Source organism: Homo sapiens, chromosome 4 (assembly GCF_000001405.40).
Source record: "Homo sapiens chromosome 4, GRCh38.p14 Primary Assembly".
Classification (NCBI taxonomy): Eukaryota; Metazoa; Chordata; class Mammalia; order Primates; family Hominidae; genus Homo; species Homo sapiens.
The window spans coordinates 148,897,555-148,921,381 of NC_000004.12; the positions used below are offsets into that span (position 1 = coordinate 148,897,555).

General features: G+C 38.7%; 1 long non-coding RNA gene across 1 annotated transcript in view, besides 1 other annotated feature; it reads left to right on the plus strand.

The window, feature by feature from the left end:
* LOC107986195 (uncharacterized) overlaps nucleotides 1-23,827 on the plus strand; it is a 496,338-nt gene that overhangs the window by 361,034 nt on the left and 111,477 nt on the right. The window lies entirely within an intron of this gene.
* Nucleotides 17,775-18,974: an enhancer, noted in NCBI's record as "MED14-independent group 3 enhancer chr4:149836481-149837680 (GRCh37/hg19 assembly coordinates)". NCBI's record gives its function as "activates an origin of replication core promoter dependent on BRD2, BRD4, P300/CBP and CDK7 cofactors, and independent of MED14, by STARR-seq in HCT116 cells {active_cell/tissue: HCT116}" and the evidence as "EXISTENCE:reporter gene assay evidence [ECO:0000049][PMID:35650434]".

The following is a 23,827-nucleotide window of genomic DNA, read 5'->3' on the forward strand; positions in this document are numbered from 1 at the left end:
AGTCCCTTCTGCCTATGAGCCTGTAAAAGCAAAAGTAAGTTAGTTACTTCCAAGATGCAATGGGGGTACAGGCATTGGGCAAATGCACCCATTTCAAATGGGAGAAATTGGCCAAAATGAAGAGGATACAGGCCCTATGCACATCCAAAGTCCAGCAGGGAAGTCAAATCTTAAAGTTCCAAAATGATCTCCTTTGAATCCATGTCTCACATCTAGCTCATGCTGATGCATGAGAGGGTTCCCATGGTCTTGGGCAGCTCCTCCCCTGTGGCTTTGCAGGGTACAGTGCCCCCCTCCTGCCTGCTTTCATGAGTTGGCATTGAGTGTCTGTGGCTTTTCCAGGTGCATGGTGCAAGCTGTCATTGAATCTACCATTCTAGGGTCTGGAGGATGGTGGCCCTCTTCTCATAGCTCCATGAGGCAGTGCTGCAACGGGGACTCTGTGTGGGGTCTCCCACCCCACATTTTCCTTCTGCACTGCTCTAGCAGAGGTTCTCCATGAGGGCACCACCCCTACCCCTACAGCACAACTCTGCCTAGACATCCAGGCATTCCTATACCTCCTCTGAAATTTAGGTGGAGATTCCCAAACCTCAATTCTTGAGTTTTGTGTACCTGCAGGCCCAACACCACATGTAAACCACCAAGGCTTGGGGGATTTACACCTTTTGAAGCAATGGCCTGAGCTGTACATTGGCCCCTTTTGGCCATGACTGGGACACAGAGTACCATGTCCTGAGACTGCACAAAGCAGCAAGACTTGGGCCTTGCCTACAAAACCATTTTTTCCTCCTAGGCCTCTGGGCCTGTGATGGGAGGGGCTGCCATGAAGGCCTCTGACATGCCCTGGAGACATTTTCTCCATTGTCTTGGTGATTAACATTTGGATCCTTGTTACTTATGCAAATTTCTGCAGCCAGCTTAAATTTCTCCTCAGACAATGAATTTTTCTTTTCTATTGCATAATCAGGCTGAAAATTTTTCAAACTTTTGTGCTCTGCTTCCCTTTTAAATGTAAGTTTCAATCCCAAGCCATATTTTTGTGAATTCATAAAACTGAATGCTTTTAACAGCACCCAGGTCATCTCTTGAACACTTTGCTGCTTAGAAACTTCTTCCACCAGATACCCTAAATCATCTCTTTCAAGTTCAAAGCTCCACAGATCTACAGGGCAGGGGCAAAATGCCACCAGTCTCTTTTCCAAAACATAACAAGAGTCACCTTTATTCCATTTCCCAAAAGGTTCCTCATCCCCATCTAAAACCATATCAGCCTGGACTTATTGTCCGTATCACTATCAGCATTTTGGTCAATGTCATTTAAGAAGTCTCTAGGAAGTTCCAACTTTTCCACATTTTCCTATCTTCTTCTTAGCCCTCTAAACTCTTCCAACCTCTGCCTGTTACCCAGTTCCAAATTTGCTTCCACATTTTTGAGTATCTTTATAGCAATACCCCACTCTACTGGTACCAATTTACTGTATTAGTTCATTTTCATACTGCTATGAAGAAATACCCAAGACTGGGTAATTTATAAAGAAAAAGAGGTTTAATGGGCTTATAGTTCCACATGGCTGGGGAGGTCTCACAATCATGGTGGAAGGCAGAGAAGGAGCAAAGGCACATCTTACATGGAGGCAGGCAAGAGAGCATGTGCAGGGGAACTGCCCTTTATAAAACCGTCAGATTTCATGAGACTTATTCACTGTCACGAGAATAGCATGGGAAAAACTGTCCCCATGATTGAATTACTTTCTACTGGGTCCCTCCCATGACATGTGGGGATTATGGGAGCTACAATTCAAGATGAGATTTGAGTGGGGATACAGCCAAACCATATCACCTGTACTTCTTTCTGATTTTCCATACAACTACTTTCTTTGGAAGCTGCTTCTCTTCAGCACTGTGGGTGTGGTACTCCCTTGGTGGCAGGATGGAGTCAGCCAAAAGGAATTAAAGCTCCAAATTTGACAGAGGCCAAGAAAATGTGGCAAAAGTTAGGTTACCTAAAAAGCAGGAATAAGAGATACCCAGGGTAAAATGGACAAATCTTAGACAATGGTGTACCAAGTAAATAAGAACACATAAACAGATAAGGTTTTGAAACTGGTGATATCAGGGAATGTAGACTGGACTGGTAATGCCAATTGCCTGGGGATGGTTTTATTTGCCCAGGTGCCACTTTTGAAGGGGTAGCGCTGTCCTATCCTTGGTTCAAGCCTTGAATTTTGGAATCCGGTTTCCAATAATGATGGCAATTGCAGCCATTGTGTTCAGCAGCTTATGGCTCTTTCTTCAAATAAAATTCTATTTCTTATTAACTATAACTTACTTGCTTATTAAAAATTTCTTTTCAAACTTAGGTCATAGAAGTGAAGTACATTTATTGCACCTCCTCTCTGGTGTTCCAAGATGAGATTTGAAAAGCAATTCACTTTTGTTTGTCTTGGAGGAGACCAAGTGCTCTCTACCTGTTAAACATCACATCTGGCATCATAGGATTAAAAGTCACACTTTCTGCCACTTGGCTTAGTCTCTGAGGGAAATGGTTGAGGCATTCTTAACTTGTTAACTGGACCATTTGATGAGTGAGAAACCCTTTCTTGTGGAATGGGAATTTCCTTTTCAAGGATGTACTTATTACAACCTTTTTACCAAATCTGCCTATTGTGTAGTTTGCTGGACTTCCCGTTGCATCCTTGACCTATCTCAGATTATGTCTGTCTCTTCTTGGAACAGATAAAGGCCCTTTGTTAGAAAGGACTCCCATGATTTGGTGGCTTTTACACACCAGAGAACTCAGCTGCTGTCTAACCCCCACTCTCCATTTCCTTGGATGCTTCCAGGCAGCCTCTCATCATCTCTATCAAACTACCAAATATACACACACGTATGTTAAAATATTTAGCCTGTACACCATGGACCATGGGTACTGGCCTTAATAAACCACTTGTATTGACTGAATAATAGTCTAGCTCACCAGTACTTTATATTATCATCCCAAGCCATAAATATCTGAGGAAAAAGAGATATTTCTTATATTAGAGGAGCATTCTCCTTTGGTCAGGAATGGCAGGTTTGGAACAGAAATTCCTGGACTGTTCTTTGAATTATGTGCTCAGCTCTGATGCTACTTTTTACTGAGGGCCACCTCTCACTTAGCTGGAAACTCGTGGAATACCCTCTGCTTTGTAAAGTCTTTTACCACTACTTGCTGTTACTGTTAGCAGTTTTATTCTGTTAGGCCGTCTGAGCTGGTATTTCTACCTGTGAAATGACTGTTTCTCTCCATTTGTCTATTGTCTCTTCTGCTAACCTTTAGTATGTCACTGAACAAAGTTGTATGCAAATGTGTAAGTCTACTGAAAGGCTTTGAAAATTAAAGGACATTGCAATGACTCAGGAAAGTTTGTGCAATTCTCCTTTAAATATGACATTTACCATAATCCTACCCATTTAAGGGAAAAGCATTTGAAAGCTAAACCGTTCAGATGTTCTTTCTAGCAGATTTTCTCAACAACAGTACTGTTGACACTTTGGGCCAGATAATCGTGTGTTGTGGGGGCCATTCTGTGCCTTGTAGGATGTTTAGCAACATCCCTGGTCTCCACTCACTAGATGCCAGTAGCACTTCCACAATGACAACCAAAAAATGTCTCCAGACATTGCCAGATGTCTTCTGGGGGTCAAATATCCCCTCTGTTTGAGGAGCACTGCCCTCTAGAGCCTTGCTCTTCAAAATGTGATCTGAAAACCAGCAGCATTGACATTAGCAAACTTGTTGGAAATGCAGAATCTGCCTGAACCACAGGTGTACCTAATAAGAATCTGCATTTTAACAAGAACCCCTGGTGACTGATATTCAAAACCTTAAATGCTTTGAAGCCTTGCTTCTCTCAGAGCTCCTTTTCATCTTTCCTGGATAAATTACCACCTTTTGGGAAATTCCTCAAGCTGCTCACAGGTATTTGTGTTGACTCAACACCTACAGCCTCCCTGCTTCCTTCCAGTAGTACCTGCTGTGCTGGACCCCTGTTAACTACAACAGGGATGACACCAGGTTCAGGAAGCCGACGAAGAGATTCAGAGCCAGTGAATGGAACATAGGGTGTATTTGAGGGAACTTACTTACAGGGTTGTCCAGTGTCAGTGGGCTGGACAGGAGAACCGCTCTCACTTATAAAAAGCATGCAGTTTATATACATAGCGTCTTCACTTAGCTCCCTCCCCGCCATAACCTCCATGTGGTAGCCCTCATTTCTTAAGTTATTGCTGTCAGGTATGTCTACCACACAGCACCTTTCCTCAATCCTGGTTATATACAAGCATATACAATTTCTCTCTTGTTTCAATATATATACTGGTTTTTATGTTGTTCCCTAGTCTCAGCCCTGTGCTTTTATTCTATGAAGTTGGGCCTTCCTGGACTGGGTATTCAGGCTATAATAGTGCTCCAGAGGCTCTAGACTAATATTCCAGAAGATGACCCTGGGCTGAGGAGGGAAAAAGGAATTTGGGTCTTTAAGTCTGTAGAAACAGCTGAGATGGTACTGACACTCTGTGTGTGGCCACTTTGATGTTTCCTTGCTTGAGGCATTTGAAAGGAAGCCTAGACTGACTTTGTATTTAAGGTTATCAGCCTTCATCAATTAGTATTACACATGATAACCCATGAGATTCAGAATCTATGAACTGACATGAAAACATCAAAAGTGTATTAGTCTGATGCCACTGACACTCTTCATTTCCACTAGTCTTAAATGTTAGAATCCAATATAATTGCTTAACAATCAAAATGAATTAATTTATATACTCGAGTACTATACTACTGTTGCTAATATACCTGCATTATTTTGACACTGAATGTCCAAGTTTCTTTTAAAATTATTGTTTGGTTATCTAGTCTATGTTATTAAAATTCAGAACTGGGACAAAACTTCCACCCACTTTTACGTACTTATGCTCTTTGCATCTCAATTCATAGGTGGTTTTTTAGTAATTAAAGGGAACCAGTTGCTGGGCATGCTGGCTCATGCTTGTAATCCCAGCTACTTGGGAAGCTGAGTTGGGATGATTGCTTGAGCCCAGCATTTGAGACTAATCTGGGCAACATAGTGAGATCCTGTCTTAAAAAATAAACAAAAGAAAAAAAAAAACGGTAACTATTGGGAATCACACATGTGTCAGTCCCTGGGAGACAATGTGAAAATTGTGAGCCCTATAGTTATAGACCTAAGAGGGCTGGGTATCAGGTGAGACAAGTGAGGTACTAGGACACAGGCACACTTTCCTGGGTTTCTGCAAGTGCTGACTCTAGTCCTAGACCTAAGACCTAGTATTTTCAATCTGTCGGTGGTATGTTTTCCTCTAAATTCATTTCTCTGTCACTGAACTCTTGGTAACAACTAATTTCTCCATTATTTAAATTGTTTCCTAGACTCAACTCCATGCTTTTATTCCATGAAATTTGGTCTTCCTGGACTGCTATATCTAATGGAGTTACTCCAGTAACTTGATGATCAGGAAAGATATAATTCAGGAGACCAGACTTGGAATTTTGTTTCCCAGATGTATTACCCACATGTGCCAATTGCCAATTTGTTACCTTCTTAGTACAAATTCACCCTACTATGTACTTCACTTTGAAACTGAATCTGGATCCTATAAAAATGTCTCTTGTGCCAGTAATCTCTGGGTTAAACTTTATCAGTAGAAGATGGTGGAGGAACTCTGCGTGAGTGCCTTGTTCCATTGCTTTTCTTCTGGCTTCTACAATGCAGTGTCCAGCAAGCATCCTCATGTGGGAGATCAGGGAATGCACATTCTCCAGCAAGTCTTACTGGCACTCCTGCCAGCATCTTTCTAGTGAGTTCTGCCAGCACCTCAGTGAGTGGCTTTCAGTGAGTTTCACCAGTACCCCAGTGGGCAGCTCCCTTGACAGTGCAGTGAGGGAGACTCAGAAACTGCCCATCCCCAACATGTTTCCCTGACATTCCAACTGGTTGTTTCCTGCTTGCCAATCCCAGCCTATGGCTCCTCAGTGTCATCCAGTGGGCCACACCCTCTCCAACAAGCTATAAATCTCAGTCTTGGTGGGGATGGCATAGAGGCTTCTGAGTTTATTTCTGCCTTGAGTATTCTCAATATGGTCCAAAAGAGATTCACAATATGGTCCAAAAGAGATATATTAAAATGTGATCTTACTCTATTTTTGGAAGCTGTCTGAAGGAGATACAGGACCACCAATGGTTTGAATGTGTCCCCTCCAAAATTCAGGTATTCCCAATGTGATAGTATTGAAACAGCCTTGTTACCTGAGGTATCACCTGGAGTTCTTCGTCACAACTGAAGAAAACAAGGAAAGTGGACTCCAAGGGTGAAGTTAGAGCAGAAGTTTAATAAGCGGAAGGAAGAGAGAAATCTCTCTGCCACGAGAGGGGTCCCGAAAGAGAATTGCTGTTTTACAGTTGAATGCAAAGACTTTTATAAACAAGCTAGTGGGGCGAGGTGTTTCCTTTACACAAGGTGCAAAAAACCCATTAGGACTAGGCGTGTCATTTGTATAAGACGTGAATTCCCAGCAGCCCCCACCCTGTCCTTCTAGTGCGCATGCGGGCTCTTGGCTGAAGTTACTCCATGTTGTTTAATCTCCCTTCCTGCACATGTGTTAGGGGATGGGATTCTCCATTGCGGACGTGCCTGGTCCAGTGTAGCTCCTCTTATCTGTGCAGCTGCAGACATGTTCCAAGCAAACCTTCCACCTCTGTAAGCTTCCTTACCTTGGTACATCCGAAAAAGGAGAAGACTGTGTCCACTGAGGCCCATTGTGTATATGTGAAGCTTGCTGGTTATACAGAAGACCTCCTTTTATGCTGGACCTTGCTTTCTTATCTGTGCTTACAGCTTGGTCTTTCAGGCTGCCCCTTCTGTCAGAAAAGAAATTCAACTCAGGACTTTGCCCTAGCTATCTGCCTAACTGATGCTTTCCTTTCTTCACTGTTGGTACTAAGAGGCGGGGTTTTAAAGAAATGATTAGGCCATGGATTTTCCTCCTTCATGAATGGGATTAGGTACCCTTTTAAGGGGGCTTAATAGAGGGAGTTTGGCCCCCTTGCCTTCTACAGTATGAGGACACAGTATTCCTTCTCTCCAGATGATACAGCATAAGGCACCATCTTGGAAGCAGAGAGCAAACCTCACCAGCAAACCCAACTTGACAGTGCCTTGATCTTGAACTTCCCAGCTTCCAGAACTGTGAGAAAATAAATTTCTTTTCCTTGTAAATTATGGCATCTCAGATATTCTGTTGTAGCTGCACAAAACAGACGAAGACAGGGCCCTTATAGGGGCCACTGTCCATTTCATTGTAGATAGTTTAGAAATGGCCTTTCTTAGAGCAGCTTGGAAGTAATGAAATGCTAATTAAAAGGTGCAATTCAGCAGTAAGTCTTTGTTAGTACAGCTTATCTTCCTGGACCCTTGCCCTCTTACTATTTCCTCTTCTTTAGTTCTAAGCATACTATAGCTACTACCAATATTTGGACTCTATTTAACTACATTTGAGTCTCAGGCTTTTCCTGAAATGATGTATATCTCTATCTATCTATCTATCTATCTATCTATCTATCTATCTATCTATCTATGTATCTATCTATCATCTATCTATCTAAATGTAAATATAGATATACATCAGTATCTCCCTGGAGGAATAAACAGATTCTCGCTTTTTTCTTTGGTTTTTATTTTTATTTTTTGTTTTGACAACTCTCAATCACTGGAATTGCCTTTGTACATGACTTTCTGTGCTCACTGTAGGGTCTTTTTGAATAAGTGCTTACTTGTACCCAGTATTAATATTTTCATGACTAATCTTTCTGAGATTGATAGCAACCACATTGCTTATTAGCCTTAATGGGAAAGTAAAATGTTTCTTCATTTCTCAACTATGATTTTCATATCAGCTGGGTCAAGAGTCCATCTGACATAGGAGGAGTTATTGAATACTAATTTATACAGGACACTCATTGGCTTGAAAATATACATTAGCATTACTGTGTCCTTAATTCTGAGTTTAGATATAGCTGAAATATAGGGAACATTAATACATTTAGTTTGCATGCATAGAGATAGGTTTTTTAATACTCAGTATTCATATTTATGAAAAATAAGCTACATATCAGCATTTGAGCCAATGGCCTTAACCCAGATTTTTAGCAGTAAAATATTACAACACCAATTTCTGATTCATACCCTTCATAAACAGGCCTCATGCCTCCCAATGTGGTTTTGGTAAGCATCTTTTTCATTATTTCATTTTCCTGTCAATAAAATTGGCATTGAATTATATTTTGGGGTCCATACATGGGCTGCATGTATATAAACTGCAAAGTATTATTACTAATAATAGACACACTGAACTTTGAGGGTTGATAACTATCTAAACGGGCATACTAAGTTTAATACAGCTTATCAGGTAAAGTTTGATTTAACAAGGTGGCTTTCACAATTGACTATGTTTCTTATTTTAATTTCTCCATGAATATTTTCATTTGCACCTTGAGGACTGTATCTCAGCATCTCGAAGTGCCTTGTGTTATCTATCACTATTACACTGTCACCCGAGAAAAAGATAAAAGTTCCATATAGACTTATTTAATACAGATATTCTAATATATTTTAAATAGTATGTCATTTATAGACTGTGAAGATATAAAATAAGCAGATTTATTTTCCCCTTATCTTTGTGGTCAGCAGCTTCCTTCACTGATTTTTGCATCTTAGGTATACTTTAGCAAGTAACAACAATAAAAAACTCCATGTCAAATAAAAACAGCCTGAAAAATGGTGCCTTCTTGCTGATGGCATTAGTGATATTATGGAACACAATTCCTATGTTTTAAAAAACAATGGAACTTGTTATGGAATTGAGTTTCCCAGAGAGTGCCACATGACCGCAGGCTATTAATTATACAGTTTTATTGTTATCTTTTGTTCAGAACAATAGTGCTCTGGAGGTCCTGTGGAACTTTTCTCCCATGCGATCTTGTCGGGTTTTGATTAAGCATCATTATATACAGTTCATTAACAATGTATCTTAAAATGAGTTTTTGATTGAACATTTTTATTGGTCATTTACTGTAATTGATGGATTCTGCTGCAATTTCACATAGAAAATTTTCCAGGATAGTAACAGTATTTTTCATTATGTATCATTATGCTTTCCCCGCCCCCCAAAAGAATACAAGTTTCCTCAAAAAAAAAATTAAACTAAAATATTAGATATTGATCCATTGCAAAGGCAGTTGCTCTTTCCATAGTTCATTCAGAAAGGACACAAACTAGTAATAATGAATAGGAATGAGAACAATTTGTAAACTTAAATAATTTTATTAATGTTGCCCTTTTTCCCCTGGTGGCCAAGTCATTCTTTAGGGAAGTAAATCATCTCTTTCAAGTTGGTAAGTGTCCTTTCAACGTAATATTAAATCTGAGATGTTTACCTGGATTCTCCAATATTTTATTAGCCACAATATTCACCGATTCTGCTTTTAATCTTTTAAAAAACCCTTTAATAAAAGAGCTAAAAATAATTTGGCAATAAATCATCTGGTTACTTTTGAGAATGCCCTTGTATTTAAAGAAACTTTAAAAATGTCTTAGAAATTATTTAATACATTAGTAAAAACTGCCCTGGAAGATTTTGATATTGAATTATTGTCACTGGAGGTGTTCAGGCATGGCTACATAGCTGCTTGCTGAGAAGGAGAAAAGGACAAAATAGGTGATCTTCAATATTTCTTCCAGTTTGAATCTTTTATAAACTACTCATATAATAACAGCATAAGACATAGGCCAAAGGTAGAAAAAGAACTGGTGAAGGATTGTGAATAGTACTGCCCGGCCTCAGGAGGTTACTTAACTTATCTTGGCTTTAGTTACTCTATCCGTGATAATGAGGAAATTGGATTAGATGGCCTTAAGGATTTTTTCCTACTGGAATATTCCATGTTTCCCTACTTTACTAATGGTTGAGGAGTAAATTAAAGTCTTCTAGGAGACTATTTTTCAATTGGGAAAAACTAGACACTTCAGGCAATAGAGTCCACTAACAAATACTGGCAAATTTATAAAATTTCAGTGAATTGACAGTTTGGCTCTCTATTGTATCTGTTACACTAACACATATTCCTGCTTCACCTAACTTTTTGTATAATTTTTCTCCTACTGAAATTGTGAATAATATATACATTCAGGAAAAAAGCTTTCTCTTCATGATTGTCTATTTTCTTATTTGAAATAGCAATTACTGCTGCCTCTGGAAGCTTCTATGAAGTGGAACATACTTTGTCATTGTCATCATAGAGAAAGGGTCAAATTAAAGATTTAGTTGCTGAGCATGGGTTATTTTTTCAGGAAAGGAAGAGCTGGTCATTGCTTACTTATCTAAATATCATCTATTGATGTAATTGTCCTTCCCCTGTATCTGTTTTCCTCTTTTCTCCCCTGGGTAGAATATAAGGCCTATTTGCTTACAAATATATGTCTAACTTTGTAAATAAGGTAAATGCCAGGTAGATGGAGCGATTAGAAATTAGCCAACCAGGTCGGGCACCATGGCTAACGCCTGTAATCCCAGCACTTTGGGAGGCCGAGGCGGGTGGATCACGAGGTCAGGAGATCGAGACCATCCTGGCTAACATGGTGAAACCCCGTCTCTACTAAAAAGATACAAAAAATTAGCCGGGCATCGTGGCAGGCGCCTGTAGTCCCAGCTACTTGGGAGGCTGAGGCAGGAGAATGGCATGAACCCGGGAGGCGGAGCTTTCAGTGAGCCGAGATCGCACCACTGCACTCCAGCCTGGGTGACAGAGCGAGAGACTTGTCTCAAAAAAAAAAAAAAAAACCAAAAAAAGAAATTAGCCAACCAACCATTTTTTGAGGGGTCCCAAAGTATTAAATATTCTGGAACTTGAAAGAAAAGGAATCCTAAATGTAAAGCCCATATTTTAATATTTTATCTATTACAGAACTCTACTTTCCCTCTCTCTTAATATCTTATCCCTTTAAACTGCATGGTACCACTAAAGAAAAAAAATGTGCCAGAAATTTACTGGCTTATAATTAATTTGATCACTGTTCACTTTATGACATTGACTGGATCATACTTCCTCATTAATCTGTATCTCAGAATTGCTACCTCAAGTGGTGGCCATATAGGACACTCTCGCTCTCCTCTGTCTTCTTACCTTGATCTTCTTTCTATTTCAGTGGGAAAAAAAACATGAGAAAATACAGTGTGAAGAAAATGAATCCATTGTAACATTAGGCTTATAGATCAAGTTTGACTATATTTAATTTCATTCACATGATGTTTTATTTCTCGTATATGAGGTAAATGAGCAAAGTAGCTTTGTTAACATTTGCTGTTTTAACCATATAGAGAAGATAAGATGCTTTTTATTACCCATTTTATTATGGAATTGGTCTAGTGAAATAACAGGAATTTCCTACCCCATAGTATATCTGTACGGATTTGGATTGGGAAAAAAAAAAGTCCCAGAGTCAAAATGGCAGCTTGAATATCAACTAAACATTCTGCCAATTGGTCTTCTTGGCCAGAAGAGGGAAAAACAGACCAATGTGACTCCGTGTCATCTGTATTTAATTATTGGAAAAAATGTCTAGCATATAAACCCTATGGATTATCAATATTATAATCTTTATGTAGAGAGAACAGAATATGAAAACAGATTCCAATTATCCAACCTGGGACTAAGATGGGAAAACCAAGGTGTCTTATCTTTACGCCAGCAATAAGATATTTTGGGAAAAGCATAGAATTTGGTGGTTAATAAACCTGGCCTCTAGCCTTCAGTTTGTCTTCACTACTTGAATAGCCTAGGCAAGTGAATTCATCTTTTAGATTTCGTTTCTTAGTGTATAGACAAAGAAATGAGACATCCTGTGAAAATCTCTGGCACAGTGCCTAGCATATAGCAGACACACATGAAGTAGAATCATGGGTTCTGAATCTTTTTTAGTGTCTTCATCCATGACACGAGAAGTTTTAATTGATAGCACAAGCATTTTCAATTTTGAAAAAAGCAGTAGAGCCCTGTGAACAACAACAGCAACAAATTTTTCATGGAATCCTAATAAATGAACCAGATAAAAGCTAAGTGGTCCTGACTAAAGTGAAAGTAGAAAGCCCAGAGCTACATCCACTGGTCATTTATGGCATGAAGCCAAAAATATGGTGTTAATTCAGGCCTCCAGTTAGTGCATCACACTAACACACGTGTCACAAATGTTTTCATCACCTTTAAATTATTCACTATTTCTTGGGCCAATACATATTTCTTGTGGGCTACACATGACAAGGTCTCTATTGTTCCACCTCCCATTTCCTCAAGGTAATTCCTCTGAAAATTCATAATTAAAAGGGGGGTAATATTGATGTGGTGAACTTTAACGATCCTTTGAAATTGTGTTGGAGAACATACTTTTGTAATTGGAGGGTGGCACATGCAATTGCAAACCAGCCTGATTCAGGCAGAATGTTAAAATGGTTGCCATCTATCTGTTCTGCTGACTGCATGTACCCGACTGTTCACTGGAATGATCACTTGTGGCCCACCCAGTTCAGCTATCTGTATTTAACAATATATGAAGAGTTTCTTTTAACTCAAGACTATATAAAGACAAAAGAACCATTTGGTTTAGAATAAATCAGAGCATTGTAATAATTGTGTATATTTTACTAAACATATAACTTACTTTTACAATAACTACACTTAGCACCATGCCATAATTGGGAGAGACTGCAGAGTCAGGTTAAACTAATTTTAAACCCCAGTTCTTCTACTTACTAGCTTTGTAATCTTGGGCCATTATTTTATCCTTGTTAAACCACCATTTTCTCATTAGTGAAATGGGAATGAGAATTCATTTTTCATTTGAGTTGCTGTGAGATTTAAAAGAAAAAAACAGACCCTGGAACCTGGTATCAGACCCAGCAAAAAGTGTATGCTCAATAACTATTCATTCATTTTGCTTAAAGTATTGTGTGGTTTTGATGTTTACTTATAGTCCTAACTTGACAAAAAAATTGGTGAAACTGAGTTAACTTTGGCTAAGGAACTGTACCAGTATAGCCTGTTTCCTTATCTTAGTTACCTTTTATTTTTCTACCTCTGCAGGTATTTTTACCTCTGCAGTGATCATTTACTGATCATCTCCAGAGCCTTGAGCTGACTTGGATTTTATCCTAATTTAGAATCTCAGATTCTCTGTTTTCAGTCATTGTATGTTTACACACAATAAAGAAGTAAATGCCCATCAACTGTATGCCTAAAACTATCAGCTACTAATGGCTACTGCATAGATGTATGCAAAGTTAGAACAAGAGGAATTCAACTCTTTTTCAAAATGTGCTCTGCTAACTGCCTAGTATTGTCATAAGTTAACCTAGGAATGTGCATTCTCTCCCCGCTCTCCTGACCCATCAGCTATCCCATTAGATATTTTAGGGTAGTAAATGACTCTAATTTACCATATGAAAATATTTGCTTTTCTTGCAGATAACGTTAACTGTAGAATGAAATTCTCATAAATTGAATATACAAGAAAAACACCTAGGGATCCTTCTTGTTAAAATGTGGATTTGAATTCACTAGGTCTCAGGAGAGGCCTGAAACTCTACATTTCTAACAAGCTCCCTGGTGACACCCATGCTACTGGTCTGCAGATCACAGCTTGGGTAGCAAGGTTCCAAGGTACATCCTGGGTCACCTTATAAATCATCCGTTACTGCGCTTCCACCATCTCTTTTGCCCATCAATTTAGAATAAGCAGATTCTTTTTGTTTATTTGTTTATTTATGTATTTCATGCTAGCCATGTTTGAAATACAAACAGACCCAAGGAAACCTCATTGCTGACTTGGACATTTTTAGCTGTTTATCTCTGAGAAAAGTTATCTTCTAAAAGAAAAACAGCAAATAAAAACAAACTCACAGCTCTGTGTCAATTTTTAAATGACTTAACTTTACATGATGTCTTTCTTTGGTAAATTTTAATCTTTTTGACCATCCAGTGGGTTGGTTTTCTGACCACAAAGAAAGTAAAATTCCCTATGGAACAGCAACAACAACAAAACACCGATGCTACTTTGAAAATTATTAAAATAACATTGGCATGTGACTGAGGCCAGCACCCCAGAAGCTGAGCATTTATAATAATAAATGCTTTGACTTCCATTCAACAGTGATCTGCGAGCCTTATCCAATCAATGAGGATGATGAAGATGTGAACTGTGATCGCCACAAATTTGTTAATTTGTCAGTCACATTAAAGACATGGCAGGTCACTCGTTGGGCTCCCCTTGACCTTTAGTCTTAAGATTACAAGATATTCAGAAATTTTGTCCTAAACTCCATTATTTTAGGAGCTGTTTCTTAAGAAAACTCTGAGCCAAGCATTCCAGAATATATTATCGCTTTAAACACAGATTTTCATTGACAACATTTTGTGGGCACCCATTTAATATTAATATTAAGCCAAGGAAATAATGGTCCTTGTTTCTTTCCTTTAAAATGACAGGAATAGTGGGTACTTGTTCCTTATGAAAAACAGGAAATATCTAAGCCAGCAGTATTCACACTAGTGTCATTCCTGCATTACTTCAGTTATTGATTGAACCTTGCCAAATTCTCCATAATGCATCTGCCTACCAGCGAGGGAGAGGCTTATGTGGGAGACTGACTTGTAAAGGTTATCTCAGGAACAAATGATGTGCAGCTCTCCACCTTTTAAAAAGTCTTGAAATGCTGTGAAATTGGATAGCCACTGAGGTACAGAAAATGGAGCATCTGCTTATAATTTTCTGAAATTAGTAAGGTAATGTTTTAATATAATTGGTACAGAATTTGGATTTAATTCTTTAGAAGGGATGTCCAAACCAAATAAGCACTTATTAGTACTGTTCTCTGTCACCTTAAAACAATGTAAGTCTAAGTATTTTCAAGGGTTAGAGCTCAGGAGTCTCTAGGAGTTTCCCAGAATCCTTGCGATTCTTGTCCACCAGGTACAAGGTGGGAGAGGGTGGGGTAGGGGCATAGCAGCCAGGAGCAGAGGTCTTAGATGAGTTTATCTTCAAGTCTCAAGGAGACTCCTTGTTGGTACTTTTGCCAACATTTGAGAGTGTTATATTTTGTTTTGTCTCTTCTGTTGAATCTAAACCGATAATACCCCCCAAATTTTGCCCTAGGGTCTGCACATTTATAAACACAAGAAATGCAATTGCTGAGGCCTCAATTTGTTCTATTGATTTGGAGAGTGCTGCAGGGAGTCCCAAGATCAATAAAGCACTGGCTTCCTACCTTTCACTTCTTCCTTGTCAGTTTCCATTGCCCCCAATTTGCCTGTTTTCTTGTCTTGCTCTTGGGAATCATTGCCATATGTGTCTGTTCTCTCTCTCTCTCTCTCTCATCTCTCCTGGGGGAAGAAAATAATTCTGAATGCTGAATGATAGTTTTTTAGAATTCTAACAACAATACATTTCAAGGTGGATGAAAGAAGTCCTCAAACTCATATGAATACCTCTAGATCTACCTATTCTTGTATCTACCTTTATATGCAACATGGTGTAAAAGTGCAGGGCTTCAGACTTCACTTGGACAAGCTTGCCAATGATTTTTCTGGTCCTGGCAGAGGGCCATCGTCTATGTTAGTCCATGAGGCCATGTGCATACCTAACGTACTTTTTTTCTGTGTTCCTGTTCCTTCTCTGTTTGCATGTGTATCCAAGTGAGTGTGCACATATATGTAAGCAAAAATGCACACACTGTGGGCAACATCTGCATGAAGAAAGTATTTTTTTAAAGGGTCAAAGTAGGGGATGGTTAAATTCAAGTGAGGATAAAAATAGAAGCCCAGCCTTGGGACAGCACTGTGACTAGTTGATAATTACGTTCTACCCAAGATCCTTGTCTTGTTCTTTGGAAAATCACCTCACTCTGAGCAAGTCTTCCTTTAGATCAACAGCTAGAAAATGAGTAGGTGGCTGAGATCCTCTCTGAACAAAGGACATATTCTGAGGAAACTACCTTTTGTCTCCTTAAGTCTTGGGATGAGTTTGTTTTATTCATTCATTCTGCTTCAAGAAGAAGACCTAGGAGTAAGAATGAAGTTTCTCAGATGAGGTTCTATATGCTCACTTAAGAAGATGTCCTTAGCTTTCCCTGAATTTTCTCTTTCCTTATCCCCAGAATTAATACAGAAAAGTAAGAAAGTGAAAAATATATGGCCAAAATAAAAGAAAACATGGAATAAAGACCCCTTCTGAGGTAAAGAAAATTTTAAAAGCTTATTTCCATCACTACGAACTACTCTTTCCCCTCAAGAATAAGTTAGCACTGTTGGAGTCAGTTACAGTTTTCAGAATTCTCTCTGGGAACTGTTGTGATAACCTCCAAGGGGCCCCTGTCCTCTGCAACTCTGTGCCTCCTTTCTAGACTCCGCTGTCTTGTCAGGGGGGTGGCTATGTCCCTTCTACCTGGAGAGAAATGCAGTCAGTCTTGGCACCAATACTAAGAAGACATTTACATTGGAAACAACATTTCTTCAATGATCAATGACCTAACAAAACTGAATAATGGCTAGAAAAGAGGCATGATAAAATGGGTAGTCCTCATCTGGTTGCTCATTTCCCTTTTATTTTATTTTTTTAAAGAAAATTCAGCAGTCTTTCAGTTGGGTCCAGGAATTCCCTGAACGTGAACCAATGTAGAGTTGCTCCATTTTAACTTCTGATATTGGACCCACTTAAGGAGTGCTCTTGATCCACACTCCACACGTCAGCCTCGTGTTCAGCCCTCCCCATCATGACTGACAGTCCCTACCCTGTACCAAGGAACCATCTGTCTCCACAGCTCGCCCACACAAGGATGGAGTTGTCGTTGATGTGGCAGCCAGGACTGCAGCAACAGGCATCGAAGCCAGACGACACAGGTGGTCCAGAGCACGGAGAGTCACCAAGGAGACTTGGAGAACACCAGCACTTCCGTTATTAGGGTGGAATACATCTGAAGGCATCACAATTCTATCCCAGTCTAAAGAAACCTGAGCCAAATGACGGATGCTGGATCCCAGAATGTGTCCATCAAATCCCTGATTCACAGAGATGTTAACAAATGTGATATCCGTTACTGTTCACTGAAAACTTACTATGAGTCACTGTGCCATGAACTTTATGAGAATTACCTAATTTAATCTACAGAAAATACTATTATCTCCATTTTTAGAGAGGGAAGATGAAGATTAGTGACTTGCCCAAGATTACACAGATAGTGATGGGTGAGTCAGAATTTGTACCCACGCAGCCTTGTACCTGGGCCCACACTGTTATCCACCAGACTTCAATGATTCTCTTGGCTTGTGGAAGTAGACAAGTTGAAGGGTATGTCTTTTGGTGGCCTATGTTTCTAACTTTAGGGTTCACAGTAATTAGAAAAGGGCACAGAAACATTTCAAATATTTTCTCCCAAGGTGACCCATAAAAATCATTAGATTATGTGCTCTGATATTGTGGCCTATACCAAACTGTCTCAGACAATTGAATCTATTCAGTACTTCATTGTTGCAAAGAATGAAAAGAGACAATGAGAGACAGGACTAGCTGGATTTCCTAGGCCCACTAAGAATTCCTAAGCCTAGCTGGGAAGGTGACCGCACCCACCTTTAAACACGGGGCTTGTAACTCAGCTCACACCAAACCAATCAGGTAGTAAACAGAGCTCACTAAAATACCAATTAGGCTAAAAACAGGAGGTAAAGAAATAATCAAATCATCTGTCTCCTGAGAGCACAGGGGGAGGGACAATGATCAGGATATAAACCCAGGAATTCGAGCGGGCAGGGGCAACCCCCTTTGGGTCCCCTCCTGTTGTATGGGACCTCTGTTTTCACTCTATTAAATCTTGCAACTGCACACTCTTCTGGTCTGTTTGTTCCGGCTCGAGTTGAGCTTTCACTCGCCATCCACCACTGCTGATCTCCATCCTTGCAAACCCGCCACTGACTTCCACTCCCCCAGATCCTGCAGGATGTCTGCTGCGCCTCTGATCCAGCGAGGTGCCCACTGCCGCTCCTGATTGGGCTAGAGGCTCGCCATTGTTCCTGCATGGCTAAGTTCCCGGGTTCATCCTAATCCAGCTGAACACTAGTCGCTGGGTTCCATGGTTTTCTTCTGTGATCCATGGCTTCTAATAGAGCTATAACACTCACCCATGGCCCAAGTTTCCATTCCTTGGAATCCGTGAGGCCAAGAACCCCAGGTCAGAGAACAAAAGACTTGCCGCCATCTTGGGAGGACTTGCCGCCATCTTGGGAGCACCCGCCCCCATCTTAGGAGTGGCCTGCCACATCTTGGGAGCTCTGAGGACAAAGACCTGCTGATAACAACAACATCCTCTGTGGGTCTAAGAAAAATCAAGCAACATATGACTATAATGAAATTATAGAACTAAAGCTTAATTCTTTATCTTCCCTTCATAATGATGACTCAAACTCTGATTAGAAAACTCAGCATAATCTTTTTGTTAATTTTCTTCTTCGGTATACAATACATCTCATAATAATGCAATATATCTCCAATGAAGTCCTATTGAGTCTTTTGAATCTATCTCCTTCTATTTGTTCCAATTATGTAATTTCAGTTCCTACATTCATGGTATCCACCATGAATGCTTTAATGGAATCTTAATTTGTATTTCTATCTCCAATCTCTGTCTAATCTCTTCTAATGACTTAAAGGAACTATTCTAAAGTACAAGTCTGACCCCTTTCCTCCACTCTCTTCTTTTGTCTCTTCCTAGCACTTCTCATCTTTAAATGTACTGCATAGTTTTATTTTGCTTATTGTTTGCTACTGTCCATTAGATTATAAAACCCAGGAGACCAGAAGTTCTTGTGTGTTTCTTCAGACAAGGATATCTGTTCCCTCACAGCTGTGGGTACTGTGCCTGGTATATACTAGGTGCTCAATAAATATATTTGATATCCCCTCCTTAAAAAAATCTACCTTACCTTTCTTCCAGGATGAAGTACAAACTTCTTAACACTGACACTTTATGCAGTGGTCTCAACCTGAATTTCTACTTAATTTCTTTGCATCTTCCTCTGCACAAAACTTTTGTTCAAATAACATGAATGTTGTCATTCCTGAAGCTTGCCATGTTTTTCATGCATCCCTGCATTTGCAAATGCTGTTCCCTTTGTCTGAAAAACCCTTCCCAAGTCTGCTTAGAACACAGCATGTGCAGATGATTGTCTCTTCAGTTATCCAGCCAAACGATTGATTGATTCATTCATCCCTCCATGTATTACCTGACCCACATCTATACATCCTTGAAAATCCAGGGGAAATTTTTCAATCTTCTGAAGCACCCCCAGATTCCCAGTTGGCATTGAGCACATTTCCTTGGTGCTCTGATAACTCTATATATAGCTCTATTTTGATTCTTATCACATTAAGTTGTAATTTATCTTATATGCTTTCTTTGCTTTCCCTGACAATGAGATGCTCCAGAACAGGGAGTGAGGCATTTATCGGGTTGTCCTCAGTATATTTTACAGTACCTGGCACGTAATAAAGTACTCAATAAATGCATAATGAATAAATGAATAATTAACCTATCTAGAACAGATATATGTTTTGGGAAGAAGAGGTAATTGCTCTGGATTGAGAATTCAGCAGATAAACTATATAGCATTCTATTCAGATACCTGAAAAACCTCAAGAAGTTCCGTTAGTATTTATGTGAAATGCATATTTTAGTTTTACTAAAATAATAATTTACATTATGTGAAATTCATAGAATACTAACCAAGTAACAGAAAAATCCTCGAGGAGTAGACCAAGTAATATAATAGTGAGTCATATATTGAGCAAAGAATAATGTAGCCCACAGAAAAATATTTAGGGCTGCACAGGTCTCAATTATCTGTATGTAATTCTCTATGAAGCCAATGAGAATGATGAGTGACTAAGAAGGATGACATTTGGTCTCTGGAGCAGAGAAATTAACTATTTCAAACCAGGAAATATTATATAAATGTAATTATTCTCAAGTTTCTTTTAAAAATGACTAATGTGCCAAAAAATGACTTATTTAAATTTAAATGGAATTTGATTTTTAAAGTAGGTACTCGTATGTCTCTTCAATGCCAAAAGAGAAGAGCTGCTTAGCCATTTTGTTTTCCAATCTCTCATTCATTCCTTCTCCATCAATGGGTATTTTTTTTCCACCTGAAACTGCCCATAGAGAAAACAAAACAGAACGTTTGAAGGACATTGAGAATGAACAAGCAGCCAGGTTTTCCCCAAGAACGGGTACTTTTTAAATGAACTGACAATTTTTTTTTGTTGGTACAAATGAAAAGCTAACATAAAAATATTCTCTAAGCTTCACTTGTAGTGTTTTATAAGAATGGAGACCAGCTTTGACATATTTCTGTGTGCCTATCTTAATCCTCCAGGACTGAGGATTCCAAGCAAACTGCTGAACCTGCAGTGTTTGCCTATTTATCTGTCTTCCATCTGCACATAATATAGACCTCACATTGTTCATTTGGGAGTCCCTGTTATTGTCCAAATGTCTATCACAAAAGAGGGTGTCTTAGTCCTCTGGGGTAACTGGCCATGGTACCAATGGACACAGATGGTAAATGAATGCATTAATATGCTCTGTTCATGATGGAAATTACACAGAGATAATATATTAACTTGAAAGGATTGCTTCTCATCTTTGTGGCAGAGTTTTTGAGGCCAAGTCTGTATGCACAAAATAAAGTAGACATTTAAGGTAATTATTTGAGTTGTGTGTGTCGGGGCAGGGGGCTGGGGGTGGGAATAACAGCTACCTGTTAATGAAGAATCCGTAATTAATTTCGATATGAATTTAACCAACTAATAGGCTTTCCTGATAGATTTCACCACATTTATTCTTCAATTTCCCCGGCTATGCTTCCTGTGTAGTCAAAATCATAGTGTACTTGGGTGTTTGCAGTACAAAGCCGTGTTTCCTGTTCCCTAAGGATAAAGGGGGAAAAATGACAATGTTTCTTAGTGACCCAGTTATCATTTTAGGTTGTTAAATAAAGAGTTTGTTTCATCTGTAAAATGGGAAGCACAATGTCTATGCCCCCCATAGGAACAGGGCTGTAAAGAAAGTAGTTCATAACTGCAAAGCCCTTTACAGATGTCAGTTATATTTGTAGGTGGAGCGAGGAGTCATGATAGTGGCTACCTAAAGAGATTTAGATGTACAGACAGTCCTCGGCTTAGGGTGGGGTTCCATCCTGATAAACCTATCATAATTTGAAAATACCTTAAGTGGAAAATGCATTTAATACACCTAACCTGCCGAACATCGTAGCTTAGCCTAGCCTGCCTTAAATGCATTCAGAACACTTGCATTAACCTACAGTTGGGGAAAAACATCTAACACAAAGCCCATTTTATAATAAAGTATTGAATATTTTGTGTAATTTATTGTATACTGTACTGAAAGTGAAAAACAAAATGGTTATGTGGGTATTCCAAGTACAGTTTCTACTGAATGCATTTCACTTTCACACCATGGTAAAGTTAAAAAATCATTGCGAGTTGAAAGATCATTTTAAGTCGGAGCGTTGTAAATTGATGTTTTTTCTATTCAAAATTTTCAGGAGGAAAGAAATTCTGTCTTTTATTAAATAAGATGCAGACACTCTGGAGATCATTTGTACATATTATACATACAGAGTTAGACAAAACTCTCTGCTCCATATTCTTTTGTGTTTAGTACCAGGGTTTTGGCTGATCTTGTATGGGAAGGCAGTGTACATGAGGCCTAGTGTGTGCTTCCCTTCTGTCTGCAGACTATTTTCACCTCACATTCTTCTTGCTTTCTCCCACTTCACTGCCAAATTTCCTTTAAACATTTCAAGAGTAACCCATGATTCCTGTAACCAAAAGTATAATGTAAACACATAGAAAGAAAAATAATTAAGAATTTTTCCCTATCGTCTCTTACCCTGCACTCCTGTTGTTTATGGCCACAATCCATCAGCTTCTAGTAGATAATGATGTTAACAGCCTCGTGTGCATCTTTGAATACTTCTCTTCATGCTACACATCTGTATGTTTATTAAAACATATATGCACATGTATAATTTTGGCTATTTTTTGCTTTTATAAATATTGAATTATACCAAACACATCACTCTGCAATTCACTTCTTTTTCACTTAAAAAATTGTTATGGACTGTCTTCCTGGCCAATAATGTATGTTTTTAATATGTGAAAGTTTTCTATTTATTTAATTGGCATATAAAATTGAATATATTTATTGTGTAAAACAAGTTGTTTGAAATATGTATATGAACATCTATTGTGGAATAGCTAAAGTGAGCTAATTAGCATATGCATTACCTCACATACTTATTGTTATGTGATGAGAACAGTTAAATCTACTTAGTAATTTTCAAAAATAATGTATTATTTTAATGGCTCTATAGTGTTTCATGATAATATACCATTGTTTGTTCAAACTACTCTATTTTTTCAGCCAATTTAGTTTTTTTCTGCTAGAAAAAATTTATGTTGTAATTAACATACTTTTCATATACATTTGTGTACCAGCTTATATATATTATGCATATATATATATATATATAGGTTACATAAGAAAAAATGACATGAGTAGGTCAAAGTAAGAGTTTCTTTACTTTTGATAGATATTACAAGAAAATTTTCCAAAATGGCTTACAGCAATTCACATTCTCGTCAGCATTGAAGAGTGTCTGTTTCTCCTTTTCCTCGATCAAGACTGAATTTATCACACTTTTAATGATTTTGCCAACCTGTCCATTAAAAATGGGATCTCCTTTTACTTTCAGTTTGCATTTCTCTTACTTCTAGTGAAGTTCAGTATCTTTTCATATATTTATTGACCGTTTACAGACACTAATTTCCATGAGCAATCTCGGGTTTCCTTGGCCAGACTCAGAACTCTCCAGAAACAGACTCTATATGAGGAGAGGCAGTTGTAAGCACATTCTACTTCAATTCTTTTAAAATAAGCAAGTTAAGTCGCTTCCATTTTATTGTATTTAAATTAATAGTATATTTCCATGGCTCATGGCCTAGAGACATTCAAAAGTAGTGAAGGAAAGTACATAGGGAAAAATCTTCCTCCCCACCTTTTCTTCTTGTCAGCCAATTCTTCTCCCAGTAGACAAGGATACTAGTTTTCTTATGGATTCTTCCAGAATTATTTTATACCACACACACACACACACACACACACACACACACACATTTATTCCCCCTTTAATCGCATTTTCCACCCTAGATCCTGAAGTCACAACTCAGTCCCTAATTGACGGAGCTAGTCACTTAACTTCCCTCAGACCAGCTTTCCTTTTGTTCAGTTGAGCTTCTGGGAGAATCAAGGAGGAGCATACCGGTAATTATCGAAGAGTTGACCACAGAAGCATGGGATGTTCTTCCCATTCAACAAACTGCAAAACCAAGCTTCTCCCTACCATTTGTCCCACACTGTTTTGTCAGGTGGGTAAACGTTATTTAATTAATGGAAGGGGTGTTGTGCAGTCTCCAAAAGCAAAGTTCAGCACCTTTTCACACATTTATTGACCACTTACTGCTCCTATTGTGCTAATTGTTCATATCCTGTTTCTGTCTTTTTGTTATCAATATATAGTGCTTTTTGTATACTGGAGATATTGTTTCTTTTTACACTCTAAGTTTTGTATTTTTTTTTTCT